The sequence below is a fragment of the Homo sapiens genome, chromosome 6 (genome assembly GCF_000001405.40).
Source record: "Homo sapiens chromosome 6, GRCh38.p14 Primary Assembly".
Classification (NCBI taxonomy): Eukaryota; Metazoa; Chordata; class Mammalia; order Primates; family Hominidae; genus Homo; species Homo sapiens.
Window position 1 is genome coordinate 144482868 of NC_000006.12, and position 19385 is coordinate 144502252.

Sequence of the window (19385 nt, forward strand, 5' to 3'; positions counted from 1 at the left end):
AGTTTTACTGGGTCTTAGATAAAATACCTTTTTTTTTTCTCCCTGGCCATTACACGTAAAATGTAGATGAGTCTATGAAATTTTTTTAAACTAAGAGTGAGGTTTTGCTTGTTTGTTTTTATAGTAGTATGACTTTTGTTATTGCTTGTTGGAAGATTTAAGAAGGCTTTCAATTTACAACAATTTAATTTACATTCAATTTGACGTAAAACAAATATTTGTATTGTGGCAAATCTTGAAATGGTAAAAAATGGCAACTGCAATATTTAACCTAAATTCATTCATTACTTTGATCATTCATTCATTTGTAAATTCATTCGTTTCTTGTTCTAAACCAATTTTGTGCTAAGATAAATATATATCATTGAGGCAAGTTAGTAAGAAAGCTACTTGATTTGGGATCTGTCTGCTTCTTGGAAGTGGTCTTCTTTGAGTCATTTTTTCTTTCCCATAAGAAAAGAGGTTGTGCTTGCATCTGAGCAGATTTTTGGTCTGCTTTTTGCTTGTGGAAATTGGGGGACTAGAACCTCTTTTCTTTTATTCTAATTCAGTGGCTGGAAAATTATGGCTGAGGATTTTGTTTTGTTTTGTTTGAGACAGGGTCTTGCTCTGTCACCTATGCTGGAGTGCAGTGGTATGATCACAGCTCACTGTAACCTCAAACTCCTGGGCTCAAGTGACCTTCCTGCCCCCGCTTCCTGAGTAGCTATGACTCCAGCCTTGCAATGCCACACCTGGCTAATTATTTTTAAATTTTTTTTGTAGAGATGGGGGTCTTGCTATGTTGCCCAAGTTGGTCTGGAACTCTTGGGCTCAAGCCATCCTCCTGCCTTGGCCTACCAAAGTCCTGGGATTAAAGGCATTAGCCACTGCACCCGGACTGGCTGAGGGTTTAAATCTAACTTGTAGTTTGGTTTTGGATACCTGGTTAACTGAGAATAGTTTATACATTTCTCAAGGGTTGTACAACACATACCCCCCTCCAAGAAGAATCTGTGATAGGAAGCAAATGTGTCCTCCCAAAACCTAAAATATTTACTGGCTGGCCCTTTGTAGAAAAATGTACTGCTCCTTGATCTGGTAAGCATACTTCATATGGAGAGTGGACCGGCAGGTGCCTTCACTCATTTATGTAAACCAGAAGATGCCTCCACTCATTCAGTACATTCAAGACGACAAGCCCAGGAGGCATCCAGCTGAGTTCTTTCTCCTAAACTTACCACTCAAATAAGTTCCTCTTATAATAAGGGATTATAAATTTATAAATGTTTCCACCCACTACACAACCCCTGGGTCCCTGCTCTGGAAACCTCAGAGGGGAATGAGTGATCAAAACCAACACAGTAAGAACAGTATAACTCCAGTTTTGGTAAAATGTGGCTCTCTTATATTGACATGTCCTCATGAATTTAGAAAAAAGTTGGGAAGGCTACATTGCAAACTTTTACATCAGTTAGCTCCAAGTTGGAATTGGGTGGGGCCCAGGAGATTTCAATTTTCTATGAAATTATTTTTTAAAAATTTACAATTGGGAGCAATTTTTTCATTTTGTTCAAAAACCAAACTTTTTTTTTTTTTTTTTTTTTTTTTTTGAGATGGAGTTTCACTCTTGTTACCCAGGCTGGAGGGCAGTGGCGTGGCCTGGGCTTACTGTAACCTCTGCCTCCCAGGTTCAAGTGATTCTCCTGCCTCAGCCTCCCGAGTAGCTGGGATTACAGGTGCCTGCCACCATGCCCAGCTAGTTTTTGTATTTTTAGTAGAGATGGGGTTTCACCATGTTGGCCAGGCTGGTCTTGAACTCCTGACCTCATGTGATCCACCTGCCTTGGCCTCCCAAAATGCTGAGATTACAGGTGTGAACCACCGCACTTGGTCTTTAAAAAACAAACTAAATAATGTTTCTCTCCTGTTTTTCTTACTAATTATATAGTTCTATTTTTGACATTTAAATCAGATCATGGAATTTATTTTAAAGAGTGAGGCAGCCTCTTGCCCACTCTTTGCTCCCCACCCTTCACCAACTGGTCTCATATGATTTTGTTGATTATTTTATTTTATTTTATTTGAGATGGAGTCTTGCTCTGTTGCCCAGGCTGGAATGCAGTGGTGCAATCTCAGCTCACCGCAACCTCCGCCTCCCGGGTTCACGCCATTCTCCTGCCTCCTCCAGAGTAGCTGGGACTACAGGCATCCGCCACCACACCCGGCTAATATTTTTATATATATATATATATTTTTAGTAGAGACAGGGTTTCACCGTGTTAGCCAGGATGGTCTTAATCTCCTGACCTCATGATCTGCCTGCTTCAGCCTCCCAAAGTGCTGGGATTACAGGCGTGAGCCACCACGCCTGGCCGATTTTATTTTATTTTTTTGAAGTTTCAACTCCATCAGTTCTGAATTCCTAGGTATACTCACATCCAAATGAAATTATTAGCGATTAAAGAGAATGTGTAGTACTAGAGATACGATGTGTGAAATGGCTTTTTGTCTAATTTAAAATTTTTCATGCTTTAGGAGGTCTGGTCTTGTTGGATTGAACTGCTTCACTATTTGGATCTTGAAACTACCTGGTTAAACACTTTGGAAGAGCGGATGAAGAGCACAGAGGTCCTGCCTGAGAAGACGGATGCTGTCAACGAAGCCCTGGAGGTTGGAACCCGTGATCTCCACGGCATTTCTCTTTGCTGTGATGAGGCCACACGTGTATTACAATGAGGAATGTAATGCTTTACGCAGGCAAATGCATTTGCTTCCTCAGTGGTTTTCAATGTCACTTGCATTTTCTTCCATAGCCTGAAGTGTTTATACAATCATGTGTATTTAGATTATTGGTGACCCATTATATCAGCCTCAAGACGTGGTTAGCTGTTTGACATCTTACATTTTAGACATGTTGAAGCACTCTAGTGGTTTTCCAGTTTATTTTAGTAGGCCCTGGACAAAGCTCTGCCATATGTTATTAGGACAACTGCTCTCTTGTTTCATCAACAAGTTATTTTTACTCACTAAACACAGCACTGACAGTTTATAGGGGATTCCTGTCTCTTACCTTCAGATGCTAGAAGTTAAGACAGTGGTTGAGCCATGGGATCTTGTCGTAGGAGCTTGTCTTCAAGCCTGGATTTGAACTCCTTGAGGCCAAGAAATGTACCCGATGCTTTGTTATTCCTCAGTTCCCAGCACAGTGTGTAGCACATGTTAACTTAATAACCGTTTCTTAAATGAAATACAGTGCAAAGAGGGTAGGTTTGCTTAACAAAAAAGAAAAGGGAAGGGGGTAGATAGGCTTTTAAAAATGTCATGGTACCATGTGGGAACTGAGTGGACAACTGGATTAAAGGTCAGAAATGAGTAAAATGTGGCACTTACATTCCAGGAGACGGATGCTCTGCTAGAGAAAAGATGTCACTTCTCAAATATAGCAGAGTGAGAGACAGAGTGAATGAAAAATATGAAAAGCTTAATTTTTTTCCTAATGTAAGAGTGAATACGTATATATTCTTGAAATATGGAAAATAAAGAAAAGTATAAAGCAAACTCTAAGATAAACATTTTAAAACAGTTTGTAGATTTCTTCCTAATTATTATCTTTTATGTATGCATACTAGAAGGTAGTATATTGGATCAAAGGCTTTGGAGTCTTTTATTTACTTATTTATCTTTTTATTTGAGATGGAATCTTGCTATGTTGCCCAGGCTGGAGTGCAATTGCATGATTTTGGCTCACTGCAACCTCCACCTCCTGAGTTCAAGCAATTCTCATGCCTCAGCCTCCTGAGTAGCTGGGATCACAGGCGTGTGCCACTACCCCAGCTAATTTTGTATTTTTAGTAGAGATGGGGTTTTACCATGTCGGCCAGGCTGGGCTCGAACTCCTGACATCAGGTGATCCACCCGCTTCGGCCTCCCAATGTGCTAGGATTAGAGGTGTGAGCCATCGCACTTGGCCAGGCTTTGGAGTCTTAAAGCTTTAGAGCCATGTTGGAATCTTAGCTCTTCTTTTGACTGTGTGTATGTAGGCAAGTAATTTAACCTTTCTGAGCTTCAATTTTCCAATCTGTAAACTGGGAATGCTATTTAGCCCATATGGTTAATTAGATTTATGTATATAAAAAGTGTGTATATAAAACAATGCCTCTTATTCTGCATATATTGTAGGAAAATGACTACTTATTTTTAGTAATATAATTAATAAAAGTTGAGATCATTTTGCTTGTATAGTACTGTTCTCTGCCTTTGAACTTTGTGTCATGAGCATTTCCCCATATAATTAATAATTATTTTTAACTTTTTATTATTCATTTATTTATTGTTTAGAGACATAGTCTCGCTCTGTTGCCCAGGCTGGAGTCCAGTGGTATGACAGCTCACTGCAGCCTTGAACTCTTGGGCTCAAGTGATCCTCCTGCCTCACCCTCCCATAATTAATAATAGTTGAAATTATTTTTGTGAAATTATATCATATATCACTTGTGCTAATTTCTCAATTTTATGCATTTTTTAATCCCATGATGGATATTTTTGTGAATTAGTAATTTACTTAACTTTTGGTCCTGTTACTTAGGTAGATTTTTAGAAAATATAATTACTTGTTTAACAAATAGACATTTTGGGGATCCTTGATACCTTTTGCCTTAGTAAATGCATTATTATTTTTTTTTCCCATCTCCATTCCAGTCTCTGGAATCTGTTCTGCGCCACCCGGCAGATAATCGCACCCAGATTCGAGAGCTTGGCCAGACTCTGATTGATGGGGGGATCCTGGATGATATAATCAGTGAGAAACTGGAGGCTTTCAACAGCCGATATGAAGATCTAAGTCACCTGGTAAGAGTTGGGACATACATGGGTGTTGATTAGGTATTGATGAAGTGGAGCTGGCCCTAAGCTCCATATCATAGAGCTTTAATGTTGGAAAAATCTTTAATGTTGGTTAAAGTTGGTAACCAATGCTAACAGGGGCATTGAGGGTATTGAAATATTCAGAAAGGAAGAATAGATCTAACACTCTAAGACAGAACTGGATGATTAAAAAAATTATTTTTGAGATTACTTCTACTTACAAACATTTAATTTTCATTAAGGATCATATGATAGCTGTATATAAGAACAACAACTCATACTATCCTAGTAAATATTAGGGCCATGATATTTCACATAAGCTGCTGTGAAAGCCATAGTCTCTTAGTTCATATCCAGGTTGTAACATACATATTCGTATCACAAATTAGAGAAAGAACATTTCTTTTATAGGAAGGTTGGGTATGAATATTAGGTGCTTCCAAACACATATTAAATAATAACTGTTGATGTTCAGCCCATGAATAACATCAAGCTTAACCCAAAAGTGCTGTAAATAGTAGTTTGATATGTATGTACACCTATAGAATTTGTTTTAGGCTTTGGAAAAAAAGAGACTCTGATGTTTGTGTATTGATAGACATTTTTCTTATGTTTTATATTCTTAATTGGCAGACATTGCTGATTCCTAAAAATGCTTTAAAATTATAATAAATAACACATTTTTATCTTCTGTTTAATGCATCTTATGGGAAACCTTTACATTTTTGTATTTCAACATTATATATAGAAAGAAGTAATAATTAGTAATTCAGCTGCATGGTACATAAGATCCTAGTGGGACATTTTCACTGTTATCATTAGTAATTATTATTTATTTATAAAGAAAGCTAAAGTCTTGGATGAAAGCTTTTATGGTCTTTTCTTAGTGGCCAGAATATATATATTCTGCTATTTATATTTGTGTTGGGCAACTAATGATTCAATTTCTCCTTTGTGCAGGCAGAGAGCAAGCAGATTTCTTTGGAAAAGCAACTCCAGGTGCTGCGGGAAACTGACCAGATGCTTCAAGTCTTGCAAGAGAGCTTGGGGGAGCTGGACAAACAGCTCACCACATACCTGACTGACAGGATAGATGCTTTCCAAGTTCCACAGGAAGCTCAGGTATTGCCGTGCATTTGAGGGCTTTTGAGCTGTAAAGAGAGCTTTTGTAATTGCCTCCTCAACTATAAGAGAACCCCTCCTGCTCTCCAAAACCGAGAGTCAATGGGAAAGATTGACCTTACTTACAGGGCAGCATTTGGGTTTTGGAGTTCTCTTGCTTTCTATGTGAGACTCTGGCAAAAGTCTTATATAGTTTATTTTATTTTATTTTATTTTATTTTATTTATTTATTTGAGACAGAATCCCACTATGTCACCCAGGCTGGAGTGCAGTGGCACGATCTTGGCTCACTGCAACCTCCGCCTCCTGGGTTCAAGTGACTCTCCTGCCTCAGCCTCCCGAATAACTGGGACTACAAGCACGCGCCACCACGCCCGGCTAATTTTTTGTAGTTTTAGTAGAGACGGGGTTTCGCCATGTTGGCCAGGCTGGTCTTGAACTCCTGACTTCAAGTGATCTGCCTGCCTCGGCCTCCCAATAATTTTTGTATTTTTAGTAGAGACGGGGTTTTGCCATATTGTCCAGGCTAGTCTCAAACTCCTGACTTCAGGTGATCCACCTTCCTCGGCCTCCCAAAATGCTGGGATTACAGGCGTGAGCCACTGTGCCTGGCTGAAAAGTCCTGTATATTTTAAATTGTAGTTTTCTTAGCTGTGAAGTTGGGACAATTCCTTCCTTATAAATAAGTTGTGAACATTAGAAACGACAAATGCAAAGCCCTTAGCAGGTGCGTCATGTACAATAGTCATACCATGCAGTGGGCCATATTATTATTATTATACAAAAACGTATTATTATTATTTTTTAGACGGATTCTCACTCTGTTGCCCAGGCTAGAGTGCAGTGGCGCGATCTCGGCTCACTGCAAACTCTGCCCCACAGGTTCAAGCAATTCTCCTGCCTCAGCCTCCCGAGTAGCTGGGATTATAGGCGCCCGCCACCGTGCCCAGCTAATTTTTGTATTTTTAGTAGAGATGGGGTTTCACCATCTTGGCCAGGCTGGTCTTGAACTCCTGATGTCGTGATCCACCCGCCTCGGCCTCCCAAAGTGTTGGGATTACAGGCATAAGCCACCGCACCTGGCCTACAAAAACTTATTAAAGCTTCTGTGGAGGTCAACATTATGTAAAATACGATATCATGTATTACACAACGATATAGAACTTTTGTATTGTCTCTTTTTATACTTAAGTAAAAAAAAAAGGACATCCTCTCCCCTTTCCAATCTCTTTTTAGAAAATCCAAGCAGAGATCTCAGCCCATGAGCTAACCCTAGAGGAGTTGAGAAGAAATATGCGTTCTCAGCCCCTGACCTCCCCAGAGAGTAGGACTGCCAGAGGAGGAAGTCAGATGGATGTGCTACAGGTAAAGAAGGCCAGGAGCTTCCTTTTACTTTTCAACTTGTTGGGAATTTTCTTCAAAAAAGAGAAAGAATTGATTACTTGGGCACCGTTTGTATTCTTTGTGATGTAAACCATGGGATGGGAGTGATGATGTGTTGAAGGTTGCATCCTAGGGCAGCAGAAACAAATTGTTGCATGTGTGGAAAAATATGAAATCTGATTTTGATAGCTGAGATGAGAAACAAGAGAGTGAGCCAGATTTAGAAGTTAGCTTTATATACACTTTTTCTTTAATGCAGAGCCTCTGTCAGTATCGTGTGGCTGATGCTGTGGGCAGGCCGAGCATGAATTGGATGCAGCATCATTTAGTTCTTTCATGGTTGATATGACATTGACTTTCACTCTGAACTTGTGATGAAGGGCATTTTGAGTTCTAGGTTCCTGAACTATCTTTTTGAACATGAAGTTTTAATTCCAGTGAGGTCAGCTTTATCTAAATTTCTTATCCAAATCTATTACTTCTGAGATTGAGACACTGAGTGTTGTAATTTTTGACACTGGGCTATGCAGTTCACTTAGGTGATCGGGTACCCTCACTGAGATTCATTAGGAGTTTTTTATTTTGGGTCATATTTCTGAATTTTTTTCTTTTGGTACTTTATGGTACAAATTTTTAGTAGTATCTGTTATGCTCATGATGAGAGAGATAATCATCCTGATGGGAATTGCATATTTTCATTTCTGCAAACAGAGGAAACTCCGAGAGGTGTCCACAAAGTTCCAGCTTTTCCAGAAGCCAGCTAACTTCGAGCAGCGCATGCTGGACTGCAAGCGTGTGCTGGATGGCGTGAAAGCAGAACTTCACGTTCTGGATGTGAAGGACGTAGACCCTGACGTCATACAGACGCACCTGGACAAGTGTATGGTGAGGCTTTTGGGTGATTGGCACATCCAGTGGCTTTTTCAGCAGCTGTTATGGCTTGGTCTAGCAAGTACATGCCTAGTGTGTCCAGTGATCACTAGTCTACAGTGTGCTAAACATAAGGATTGATGATGGAAAACGTGTTAAAAAATAAGAAGTGTGGTCTTTCCCTCCAAAGAAATTAGAAGAGATAAGAGAGATAGCTAAGGAAACTAGAATAGACATGTATATAACATGATGACAAAAACCAAAACAAAAGAAATACAGCTTAATCACCATGTGAAGTTAGGAGGGCTTCAGCAGAGTGTGACTAATAAGCAAAGTTTTCAAGGATAAATTTGAATTAGCTAGAAGAACCATACTTAGAATGGATATCGTAAAAATTCCATTTTCTAGGAAAATAAAAATTTCAATAGAAATTTAAACCTTAAGATAGGAAAGAAGAAATGATATATAAGGCCTTATTACTTTTTTAGTCTTGAACTTTATAATTCAATTGAATAGAAATTTAAAAATAATGTGGCTAAGGGGACACAATCTTAGAATTAGTGTTCTGCTTGAGAATCACAGAACTTAAGATGAGACTCTTTAGGACAGGAGAGGTATAGGGACAGTTCTTTGTGCTTTTCAAAACAAAGGATAAATTTTAATATATATGTGCATGTATGTAAGTATTTATTTGATTATTGTGACATAATGGTAATCAGAGAAAGTGCTGTCCTTGACTTCATGGAACATACATAGTTCAGGGGTCTGTTACATGACAGCGTCCTATGAGATGTTGAGATGATGATGTATAGGTGTCAAGAGAAGCTGTTTAGAATAAAGCTTTTTGGTTTCAGGTAACTAGGAAGAAGACAGCTCTGAATTTGACCTACAGAACTACGATTTCTTTTTTTATATTTAAATTTATTTTTATTTTTAATTTTTGAAGACTTTTAGGTTCAGGAAGTACATGTGCACGTTTGATACATGGATATATTGTATGATGCTGAGGTTTGGGCTTCGACTGAACCCATCACCCAAATAATAAATGTAGTACCCAATTGGTAGTTTTTCAGCTCTTGCCCCTTTCCTCCTTCCCTCCTTTTGGAGTCCCATTGTCTTTGCTTTCCATCTTTATGTGCATGTGTGCCCATTGTTTAACTCCCACTTATAAGTGAGAACATTTAGTATTTGGTTTTCTGTTCCTGAATTAATTTACTTAGGATAATGGCCTTGAGCTGCATTCATGCTGCTGCAAAGGACATGATTTCATTTTTTATGGCTGTGTAGTGTTCCGTGGTGTATTTGTACCACGTTTTCTTTATCCATTCCCCCATTGATGGGCACCTAGATTGATGACATGTCTTTGCTATTGTGTGTAGTGGTGTGATAAACACGGGAGTGCATGTGTCCTTTTGGTAGAACGATTATCCTCCTTTACTTATATACCCAGTAATAGGATTTCTGGGTTGAATAATAATTCTATGTTTAGTTCTTTGAGATATTTCCAAACTGCTTTCCCTAGGGGCTGAACTGATTTACAATCCTACCAACAGTGTATGGTGTTCCCTTTTCTCTGCAGCCTTGCCAGCATCTGTTGTTTTTTGACTTTTTAATAATGGTCATTCAGACTGGTGTGAGATAGTATCTTATTGTGGTTTTGATTTGCATCAGAAATCTGTTTACTTATAGTTATATACATCTTGATATATCGAGTTTTGTATTTTTTATCATACAAATTATATATGTTCATTGTGGTAGACTTAGTACTTCTGAGAAATAGAAATAAATGTTAATAATTCCAAATCCAACAGACAGCAGTAGCCAGTGTTGGCTTGTTTTAGTCATAACATGCAAGATTTTTTAAAAATGTAATTTTAATTGTGATAAACATTCTGTTTTTAGTCCTAATGTTTTCCCATTTTATGTAGGAAAAATATTTATATTATCAAGTACTTTCATAAGCATTTGTCTGAGATTTTGAAAGAATGAGCATAAACTCTATTAGTTTATTTTCTTGTCAGATTTGAAGAAGTTATTACAAGCTTGATTTCATTTGACTCGACCTTCAGACCAAATCTGAGAAAGATGATGGCCTTTGATCACCATAGTTAGGTCTTGGCTGTCAATCTGTGTAAGCTGTGGTCTGACATGATGCCAGTTGGCAAGTTGTCACCACAGTGTGTAATTTGTCTTTTTCTTTGTTTGTTTTAAAGAAACTGTATAAAACTTTGAGTGAAGTCAAACTTGAAGTGGAAACTGTGATTAAAACAGGAAGACATATTGTCCAGAAACAGCAAACGGACAACCCAAAAGGGATGGATGAGCAGCTGACTTCCCTGAAGGTTCTTTACAATGACCTGGGCGCACAGGTGAGGAGAGCAGCCCCACAGCTCATCTCTCTGTCTCTCTCTCTCTCTCTCTCAATCTCTCTCTCTCTCTCGTTCTCTCTCATGTATTTTTAAATTTCATTTTTTGGAAAATGCATGTTTGAAAATTATGAGATTCATACGTGTTTTCAATTTATTGTAATAATTGTTATATTTCTTTAAATGTATGTGGTAATATTACAGTGATTCATAGTTACATAGAAATTTATTTTTGGCTAGGCACAGTGGCTCACGCCTGTAATCCCAGGTCTTTGGGAGGCTGAGTCAGGTAATGGCTTGAGCCCAGGGGTTTGAGACCAGCCTGGGCAACATGATGAAACCTTGTCTCTACAAAAAAATACAAATGAAAACCTCCAAAAACAAAACAAATTTCCAAAAAAAAATTAGCCATGGTGGTGAGTATCTGTAGTCCTAGCTACCTGGGAGGCTGAGGTGGGAGAGCTGCTTGAACCTGAGAGGCAGAGGTTGCAGTGAGCTGAGATCACACCACTACACTCCAGCCTAGGAACAGAGTGAGACACTGTTTTTAAAAAAAATTTATTTTTAATATTTAATTCAGGCTAATATTTATACTTTCAATGGCTACTGATATTCCATAAATTATTCTAAGGATACTACAAGTAATATATGTTCATTGTGGTAGACTTAGTGTGTCTGGAATTGGTGGGTTCTTGGTCTCACTGACTTCAAGAATGAAGCTGTGGACCCTCGTGGTGAGTGTTACAGCTCTTAAGGTGGCGCATCTGGAGTTTGTTCCTTCTGATGTTCGGATGTGCTTGGAGTTTCTTCCTTCTGGTGGGTTCATGGTCTTCCTGGCTCAGGAGTGACGCTGCAGACCTTTGCAGTGAGTGTTACAGCTCTTAAGGCAGCGCATCTGGAGTTGTTCGTTCCTCCCAGTGGGCTTGTGGTCTCGCTGGCTTCAGGAGTGAAGCTGCAGACCTTTGCAGTGAGTGTTACAGCTCATAAAAGCAGTGTGGACCCAAAGAGTGAGCAGTAGCAAGATTTATTGCAAAGAGCAAAAGAACAAAGCTTCCACAGTGTGGAAGGGGACCCGAGCGGGTTGCCACTGCTGGCTCGCGCAGCCTGCTTTTATTCTCTTATCTGGCCCTACCCACATCCTGCTGATTGGTAGAGACGAGTGGTCTGTTTTGACAGGGCGCTGATTGGTGCGTTTACAATCCCTGAGCTAGACACAAAGGTTCTCCATGTCCCCACCAGATTAGCTAGATACAGAGTGTGGACACAAAGGTTCTCCAAGGCCCCACCAGAGTAGCTAGATACAGAGTGTTGATTGGTGCATTCACAAACCCTGAGCTAGACACAGGGTGCTGATTGGTGTGTTTACAAACCTTGAGCTAGATACAGAGTGCCAATTGGTGTATTTACAATCCCTTAGCTAGACATAAAGGTTCTCTAAGGCCCCACCAGAGTAGCTAGATACAGAGTGTGGATTGGTGCACTCACAAACCCTGAGCTAGACACAGGGTGCTGATTGGTGTGTTTACAAACCTTGAGCTAGATACAGAGTGCCGATTGGTGTATTTACAATCCCTGAGCTAGACATAAAGACTCTCCACGTCCCCACCAGACCCAGGAGTCCAGCTGGCTTCACCCAGTGGATCCCGCACCCGGGCTGCAGGTGGAGCTGCCTTCCAGTCCCGCACCGTGGGCTTGCACTCCTCAGCCCTTGGGTGGTCAATGGGAGTGGGCGCCGTGGAGCAGGGGGTGGCACTCATCAGGGAGGCTCCGGCCGCACAGGAGCCCATGGAGGGGGTGGGAGGCTCAGGAATGGCGGGCTGCAGGTCCCGAGCCCTGCCCCGCAGGAAGGCAGCTAAGGCCCGGTGAGAAATTGAGCGCAGCGCCGGTGGGCTGGCACTGCTGGGGGACCCAGTACACCCTCCACAGCCGCTGGCCCGGTGCTAAGTCCCTCATTGCCTGGGGCCGGCAGGGCCAGCCTGCTGCTCCGAGTGCGGGGCCCGCCAAGCCCACCCGGAACTCCAGCTGGCCCACAAGCGTGGCGCGCAGCCCCGGTTCCCGCTCGCGCCTCTCCCTCCACACCTCCCTGCAAGCTGAGGGAGTGGGCTCTGGCCTTGGCCAGCCCAGAAAGGGGTTCCCACAGTGCAGCGGTGGGCTGAAGAGCTCCTCAAGTGCTGCCAAAGTGGGAGCCCAGGCAGAGGAGGCGCCGAGAGCGAGCGAGGGCTGTGAGGACTGCCAGCATGCTGTCACCTCTCATTAGTACTTCAAAGAAATACAAGGGAAAAAATAAATGTTAATAATTCCAAATTTCAATGGATAGCAGTAGCCGGTGTTGGCTTTTTTCTAGTCGCAACATGTAAGATTTTTCTAAGTGTAATTTTAATTGTGAGAAACATTCTGTTTTTAGTCCTAATGTTTTCCCATTTCATGTAGGAAAAATGGGAAATAATAATCCCTGTAAAAACTCAAGTTGTTGGTCCTTAGATTTCTAAATTGAACAGTCTACCGAGAAATGTTAAAACATCAGGGCTCTAGTAAATAACCAGTGGCAAGAAGTTCACATTAATCTACCAGGATTTGAAATCCTGGCAAGAAATATCTCTAATTTGGGCATTTTAGTGAATCCATGCAGGAGTTGTTGAGCATTTACTGTGAGTGAATGAATTTTTGCCCTGAAACCAGGAGAGCAAAGAATGTGTGGAAGTGTGAAACCTTAATAGGTAATATTGAAAACCCATGTTTGATAGTATTTTGGATCCTCCTTCAGTTAGGAAATATTAACTACTTCCAGTTGAGGTAATATTGAAGTTTCTATATAAGCCCAGAGAAAAATAGCTGAAATTTTGTTTTCAGTTGAAATCAGAACGACCAGTTTATACTTTTTCTGGGTGATTTTGATCTCACTTCTGCAAGCTTAGATTGTTGATGTGATACATTTTGATGTATTACATGTCTGGAACACACACCTTAGAGCTTCTTTTTGGAATTATACAGCTGGTTATTCGTTAAATATTATTATATTTATTCACTGACTGGGCATTTTATGAATGGAATGGTATTGCTGGTTTTTGCACTAATTCTCCAATTGTGACTATAATTTTAGTATTAATTAATTTTATCATTTAAAGTTTCACTCAATCGAGATTTTACTCTGTGTCAGGAATTATACAAGGAGACAGTGATGAGGAAAGATATAAATTATCTCGTTGTCTAATGGAACTTAGGGTAGTGAAAGAGAAAAACATTGAGTAGTTACATGAGATGATGTCACATTATCAGTCTGAAGAGTTATGAAGAATGTACATGGTTCTTTAAGAGTATAGGTAAAGGGGGGTTTCACCCAGTCTTGTGTTAGGAAGGCTTCCCTGAGGAGGTGATGCATAAGCCGAGATCTGAAGTCTGGGTAGGAGTAACCTGGGTGAAACGAGGAGATTTCTAGACTGATAAAACAGTATATATAAAAGCTCTAAGGCAGGAGGCAGTGTGGTACATTTATGTGGCTAGAGCAGAGAGAGCCAGTGTGAGGAACATGGTGCTAGGGAGATAGGATTAGACAAAATCCTGCCAATGTCATAGAGTTTGTGTTACAGATTAAAATCTGTGTCTTAAGCAGTTACTGCACAGGTTTTAGTAGGCAAATTACATACTCAGATATGTCTTTTAAAGGATTACTCACTGCATTTTGGAAGAGGAATTGGAGGGAGGCTGGAGTGGATGTGAGGAGACTGGTTTCGAAGTCATTGTACACTTGGTGAGAGATGGTCGTACCTTGAACTAGGATGGAGAGTGGAGATGGAGTGAGTGAATTGATTTCAGACATATGTAGGAAGTGAAATCAACAGGACTTGGTCCAGGAGGAGAGATGAAGGATGACCCCTGGGTTTCTGGCTTGATGATGTGGATGGTGTGGCCATTGAGATGGGTGCTGTAAGAAAAGATAGAGGACCGGGTGCGGTCGCTTATGCCTGTAATCTTTGCACGTTGGGAGGCCAAGGTGGTGGATCACCTGAGGTCAGGAGTTTGAGACCAGCCTGGTCAACATGGCAAAAACCCGTCTCTACTCAAAAAAAAAAAAAAAAAATTAGCTGAGTGTGGTAGTATGTGCCTGTAATCCCAGCTACTCGGGAGGCTGAGGCAGGAGAATCACTTGAACCTGGGAGGCTGAGGTTGCAGTGAGTCAAGATTGTGCCACTGCACTCCAGCCTGGGCAACAAGAGTGAAAACTCTGTCTCAAAAAAAAAAAAAGGTAGAAGCATGCAGAAATCACAGGTATGTATTGGACATGTTGACATTTTAAGTACCTTTGAGAATGTTAATTGGAAATGTCGGGTACTCACATGATTATTCAGGTCTGGAGAATATATCTGGACTGAAGAGGTGGATTTTATGAGTCATCTGCATAGAGGTCATAATTAAAGTAATCAGGGATGATAGATTGTCTAGGAACAGGATATAGTGAAAGAAGAGGGCCCTCAACCAAGTCTTAAGAATTACATCATTTAGTAAGAAATCTCAGGAAGATGAGCTTGCAAAAGAAACTAATGTAAGTAGCAAGAAGTGGTAGGGACACAGTTGAGTACTAGGTCTGGAAAGCTAGGGGAAGATGGTATTTTGACAGAGTGCAGTTACCTGTTTTGGATATTTTGAAAGTTAAATATGATGTCCACATAAACATATTAATTAGATCAGTTGCCATTGGGGTCATTATTGAACTTAGCAAGGGCAATGTCTGGGAGTGATGGTGGTAGAAGCCAGAATGGCATGGCTCAATCCAAAGATTGTACCACCCTGGCCTTGGCCTTAACCTCTTTAAGTTTCATTTTCATTATCCATAAAGTAGAAAGAGGCTTTGTGAATTTTATTGCATACGTGTGTAAGATTCCTTAGCACAACACGGAAGCTGTATTAAGAGCTTGGTAAATGTTAGTTAAGTTCATTTGTTTTCTGTCAACAACAATGAGAGCAAAATAATAATAAGGTTTGGTTTGTATAGTCGTGTACTGCATTTTAAGTTAAAGTGGTTAATTATAAAACATATAATTGTGAAAATGGTGCTATTTTCCCCTCAAGTTACTATAATACCGTATTTTTCCTTCATGGAGAGGATTCTAAGATATCTTATGTTCAAAATTATAATAGATACTAGTGATTTTTCAACTTTATTTCTGCCCTTTTATGTGTGTTTTTCTCGCTTAATACACATAACAATCTTTTTTTTTTTTGAGACGGGGTCTTGCTCTGTTGCCCAGGCTGGAGTGCAGTGGCAGGATCACGGCTCACTGCAGCCCCAGCCTCCAGGGCTCAAGCGATTCTCCCACCTCAGCCTACTGACCAGCTGGAACTACGAGCACGCACCACCATACTGGCTAATTTTTTGTATTTTTTACAAAATGAGGTCTTTCATTTTGTAGAAAATGAGGTCATGTTTCCCAGGCTGGTCTTAAACTCTTGGACTCAAAAGATTTGCCTGCCTCGGCCTCCCAAAGTGCTGGGATTATAGACATGAGCCACTGTGCCCAGCCTCATACCAATCTTTTGAGGGCTATACCTCTGCCAGTATCACTTAGGAAATTAATGATAGAGCTAAGATGAAAACCCAGGATTGCCTGGCACTTAACCACTACAGCATATTGCCTCCTTGCAGAAATGCAAGCTTAGAGGATTCTAAGGTGCTAAGACAAAGGTTATGTATGTCTTGGGGGTTATATATGAATCAGTTTGGATCTTTAGTTAACATTCTGATTCATTCTCATTTATGTTCATTCCCATCTCAGTCTCAGTCTCTCCCTGCCTCTCTCCGTCTCAGGTGACAGAAGGAAAACAGGATCTGGAAAGAGCATCACAGTTGGCCCGGAAAATGAAGAAAGAGGCTGCTTCTCTCTCTGAATGGCTTTCTGCTACTGAAACTGAATTGGTACAGAAGTCCACTTCAGAAGGTCTGCTTGGTGACTTGGATACAGAAATTTCCTGGGCTAAAGTAAGTTGCAGTTCAGATGAAACACCAGCATGATGCCAGCGTAACATGGCATTTGTTCGGGCGACCTGGTTGGATACCATGTCCCTCCATTTTATATTAAATCTAGCCTTTTCTTTTTTGCATTGTTTTTCCACTTCTCTGTCCTAAGAAAAAATATTTTAAAAATAATGATTATATTTTATTTTCTTTATAATTTCTACTTTTAGATTAAGGGGTACACATATAGGTTTGTTACATGGATATATTGTGTAATGCTGAGGTTTGGGGTATGAATGATCCCATCACCCAGGTAGTGAGCATAGTACCCACTAGGTAGTTTTTCAGCTCATGCCTCCCTCTGTTTCTCGCCCCTCTACTAGTCCCCAGTGTTTATCGTTCCCTTCTTTATGGCCTTGCGTACCCAATGTTTAGCCCCCACTTGTAAGCGAGAACGTGGTAATTGGTTTCCCATTCCTGCATTAATTCACTTAGGATAATGGCCTCCAGCTGCAACCATGTTGCTGCAAAGGACATGATTTCATTCTTTTTTATGGTTGTATGGTACTCCATGGTGTATATGTATCACATTTTCTTTATCCAATCCACCATTGATGGGCACCTAGGTTGATGACATGTCCTTGCTCTTGTGAATAGTGCTGATGAACATATGAGTGCATGTGTCTTTTTGGTAGAACAGTTTATTTTCCTTTGCCTATATACCCAGTAATCAGATTTCTGGGTCAGTAATCAGAATTCTGTTTGAAGTTCTTTGAGAAATTTCTAAACTGCTTTCCACAGAGGCTGAACTAATTTACATTCCCACCAACAGTATAAAAGTGTTCCTTTTTCTCTGCAACCTTGTCAACATCTGTTATTTTTTGACTTTTTAATAATAGCTATTCTAAATGGTGTGAGATGGTATCTCATTGTGGTTTCAATTTGCATTTCTCTAATGTTAGTGATGTTGAGCATTTTTTCGTGTGTTGTTGGCTGCTAGTATGTCCTTTTTGAAGTGTCTGTTCATTTTATTTGCCCACTTTTTAATGGGGTTATTTGTAAAACAGCTCTTTTAATAAGATATTTTTATCCTGATTCCAAAAGCATTACATTCATGGATCATCAAGGCCTTTATAGGTATTATTTTTATATAGTACTTAAAAGCCTAATTCACCACCTTTAAAATCAATGACACATATTTACAGAGTGTTTACAAAGAATTGTGCTGAGTTTAATTCTTCTTTAATAACATTTTAAAACCAATAAGTAATCTTTCTATTGCAAACTTTCAGATGTAAAGAACTTAGGAATAGAATTTTAAAAAATCAATACAAGAGTTTTCTTTAACCCTGTACTTTGAAATCACAGAGATTAGAAAGTTGATTTGCTGGTTCTGGCTTCTGCAGTAGAGAAAGAATTGAATGGAACATGAGTGGTTCTTTTAACAAGGCATTCTGTTTTCCTAAATCTCTTTCCTGAGAAAGAAGCGAGTATACTAGTGGGAAGTGCTGAATATAAATGATCAATACTGTGACTGATGTTTATATAAAGCCACAAGTATCAGTTTGACACCCTCTACAGCTCTACACGTTTGCTGTGGGCCTTGAGGAGAAGGTGCTGAGAGGTTGTGGGGTGACACAACTCCTGCTTACTTTGAATGCTCTGTGGAGATGACAGCTGGGAGAAAGTTAAGATAGTAGACACTGGAAAGACTATTCTCAGTTTAGAAAAAAGCTCATGAAAAGCGTGATCATGCCATGAGCAGTGTGAGTGTAAAGGAAGTGAAGAAAGGAATGTATGAGGGAAATGAGCATTGCAAGTCATCGGTGTGTTGTGGTTGAATGCAAAACAAAGGCACCAAACTTTATTGTTGTTAAATTTAAGTTTTTCAAGGACATATTATCATCCTCGTGCAGTATACTTTGAAAATCATTACTTTTTAAATTAGTAACATAAGTAATAGAAGCTATTTGAATGAAATTTGCCTAGTGTAATACAAAAAAACAGGAGCAAAAATCACCTATAATCAAACAATGCTATTTTTTTTCATTTTTTTGAGCACATTTCGATGTGCACATGCAAAAGCATATATTTAAAAATAAATTTTGTTGTAACTAGTATTTATTGACCTTCTTTTAAAAACTTACATCTTTGGCATTTTTCTTTACCTATACTTGTTTTTATATAGCATATTAGAGATATGCATAGTATTTCATTCTTAATTTTTTTATTTTCTCATTTCTCTATTCATGTCCATTTAAATTATTACCATTTTCATTATTATAGATAACGCTATGGTGAATATATTAAACCATATCATACATTCATAATTATTTCCTGAGGATAAATTCTTAACCCTAAAAGTATTGATCAAGGGACAGGAATATATCCATTTTTAAGTCTTATACATATTATGCAATTGTTCTTCAGAAATAGTGCACCTACCACATGCGAATGAGAATTTCTACTTGACATCATGTTTTGGTTATTTAATTAGAACATTTTTGACAAGTTTATAGGTCTTCTATAGCGCTGTTAAAAATACCGCTTTTTACTCTAATTCTGACCATTTTTTATCACCAAATTGGTCTTTTAATTTGGAGCTTTTTATCTGTTCTGATTATCAATGCTTAGTGAGTTGTGTTTGATTGCAAACAAATTTTTTTATTACTGTAGCTTCCTTTTTTGTTTTTTTAAGTTTTATTTTTTTTTTGAAAAAAAGTAAATCCTTCTGAATATTTTTTAATGAACAAAATCCATCTTTTTCTTCATTATTTCTGCCTTTAGTGCTTAGAAAGACCACCTCAACTCCAGGTTCATTTAATTATTCACTTTTTTTTTCTACTAGC

At 39.4% G+C, this 19385-nt stretch overlaps 1 protein-coding gene across 1 annotated transcript in view; it reads left to right on the top strand.

Moving 5' to 3' along the window:
* The window catches only part of UTRN (utrophin), a 567700-nt gene that overhangs the window by 197533 nt on the left and 350782 nt on the right, over positions 1 to 19385 (top strand). Inside the window, exons 28-34 of the mRNA NM_007124.3 lie at positions 2518 to 2652; positions 4681 to 4830; positions 5806 to 5967; positions 7204 to 7332; positions 8062 to 8235; positions 10434 to 10589; positions 16390 to 16560. Coding sequence (NP_009055.2) covers positions 2518 to 2652; positions 4681 to 4830; positions 5806 to 5967; positions 7204 to 7332; positions 8062 to 8235; positions 10434 to 10589; positions 16390 to 16560 — 1077 coding nt within the window. The remainder of the gene's footprint in view (positions 1 to 2517; positions 2653 to 4680; positions 4831 to 5805; positions 5968 to 7203; positions 7333 to 8061; positions 8236 to 10433; positions 10590 to 16389; positions 16561 to 19385) is intronic.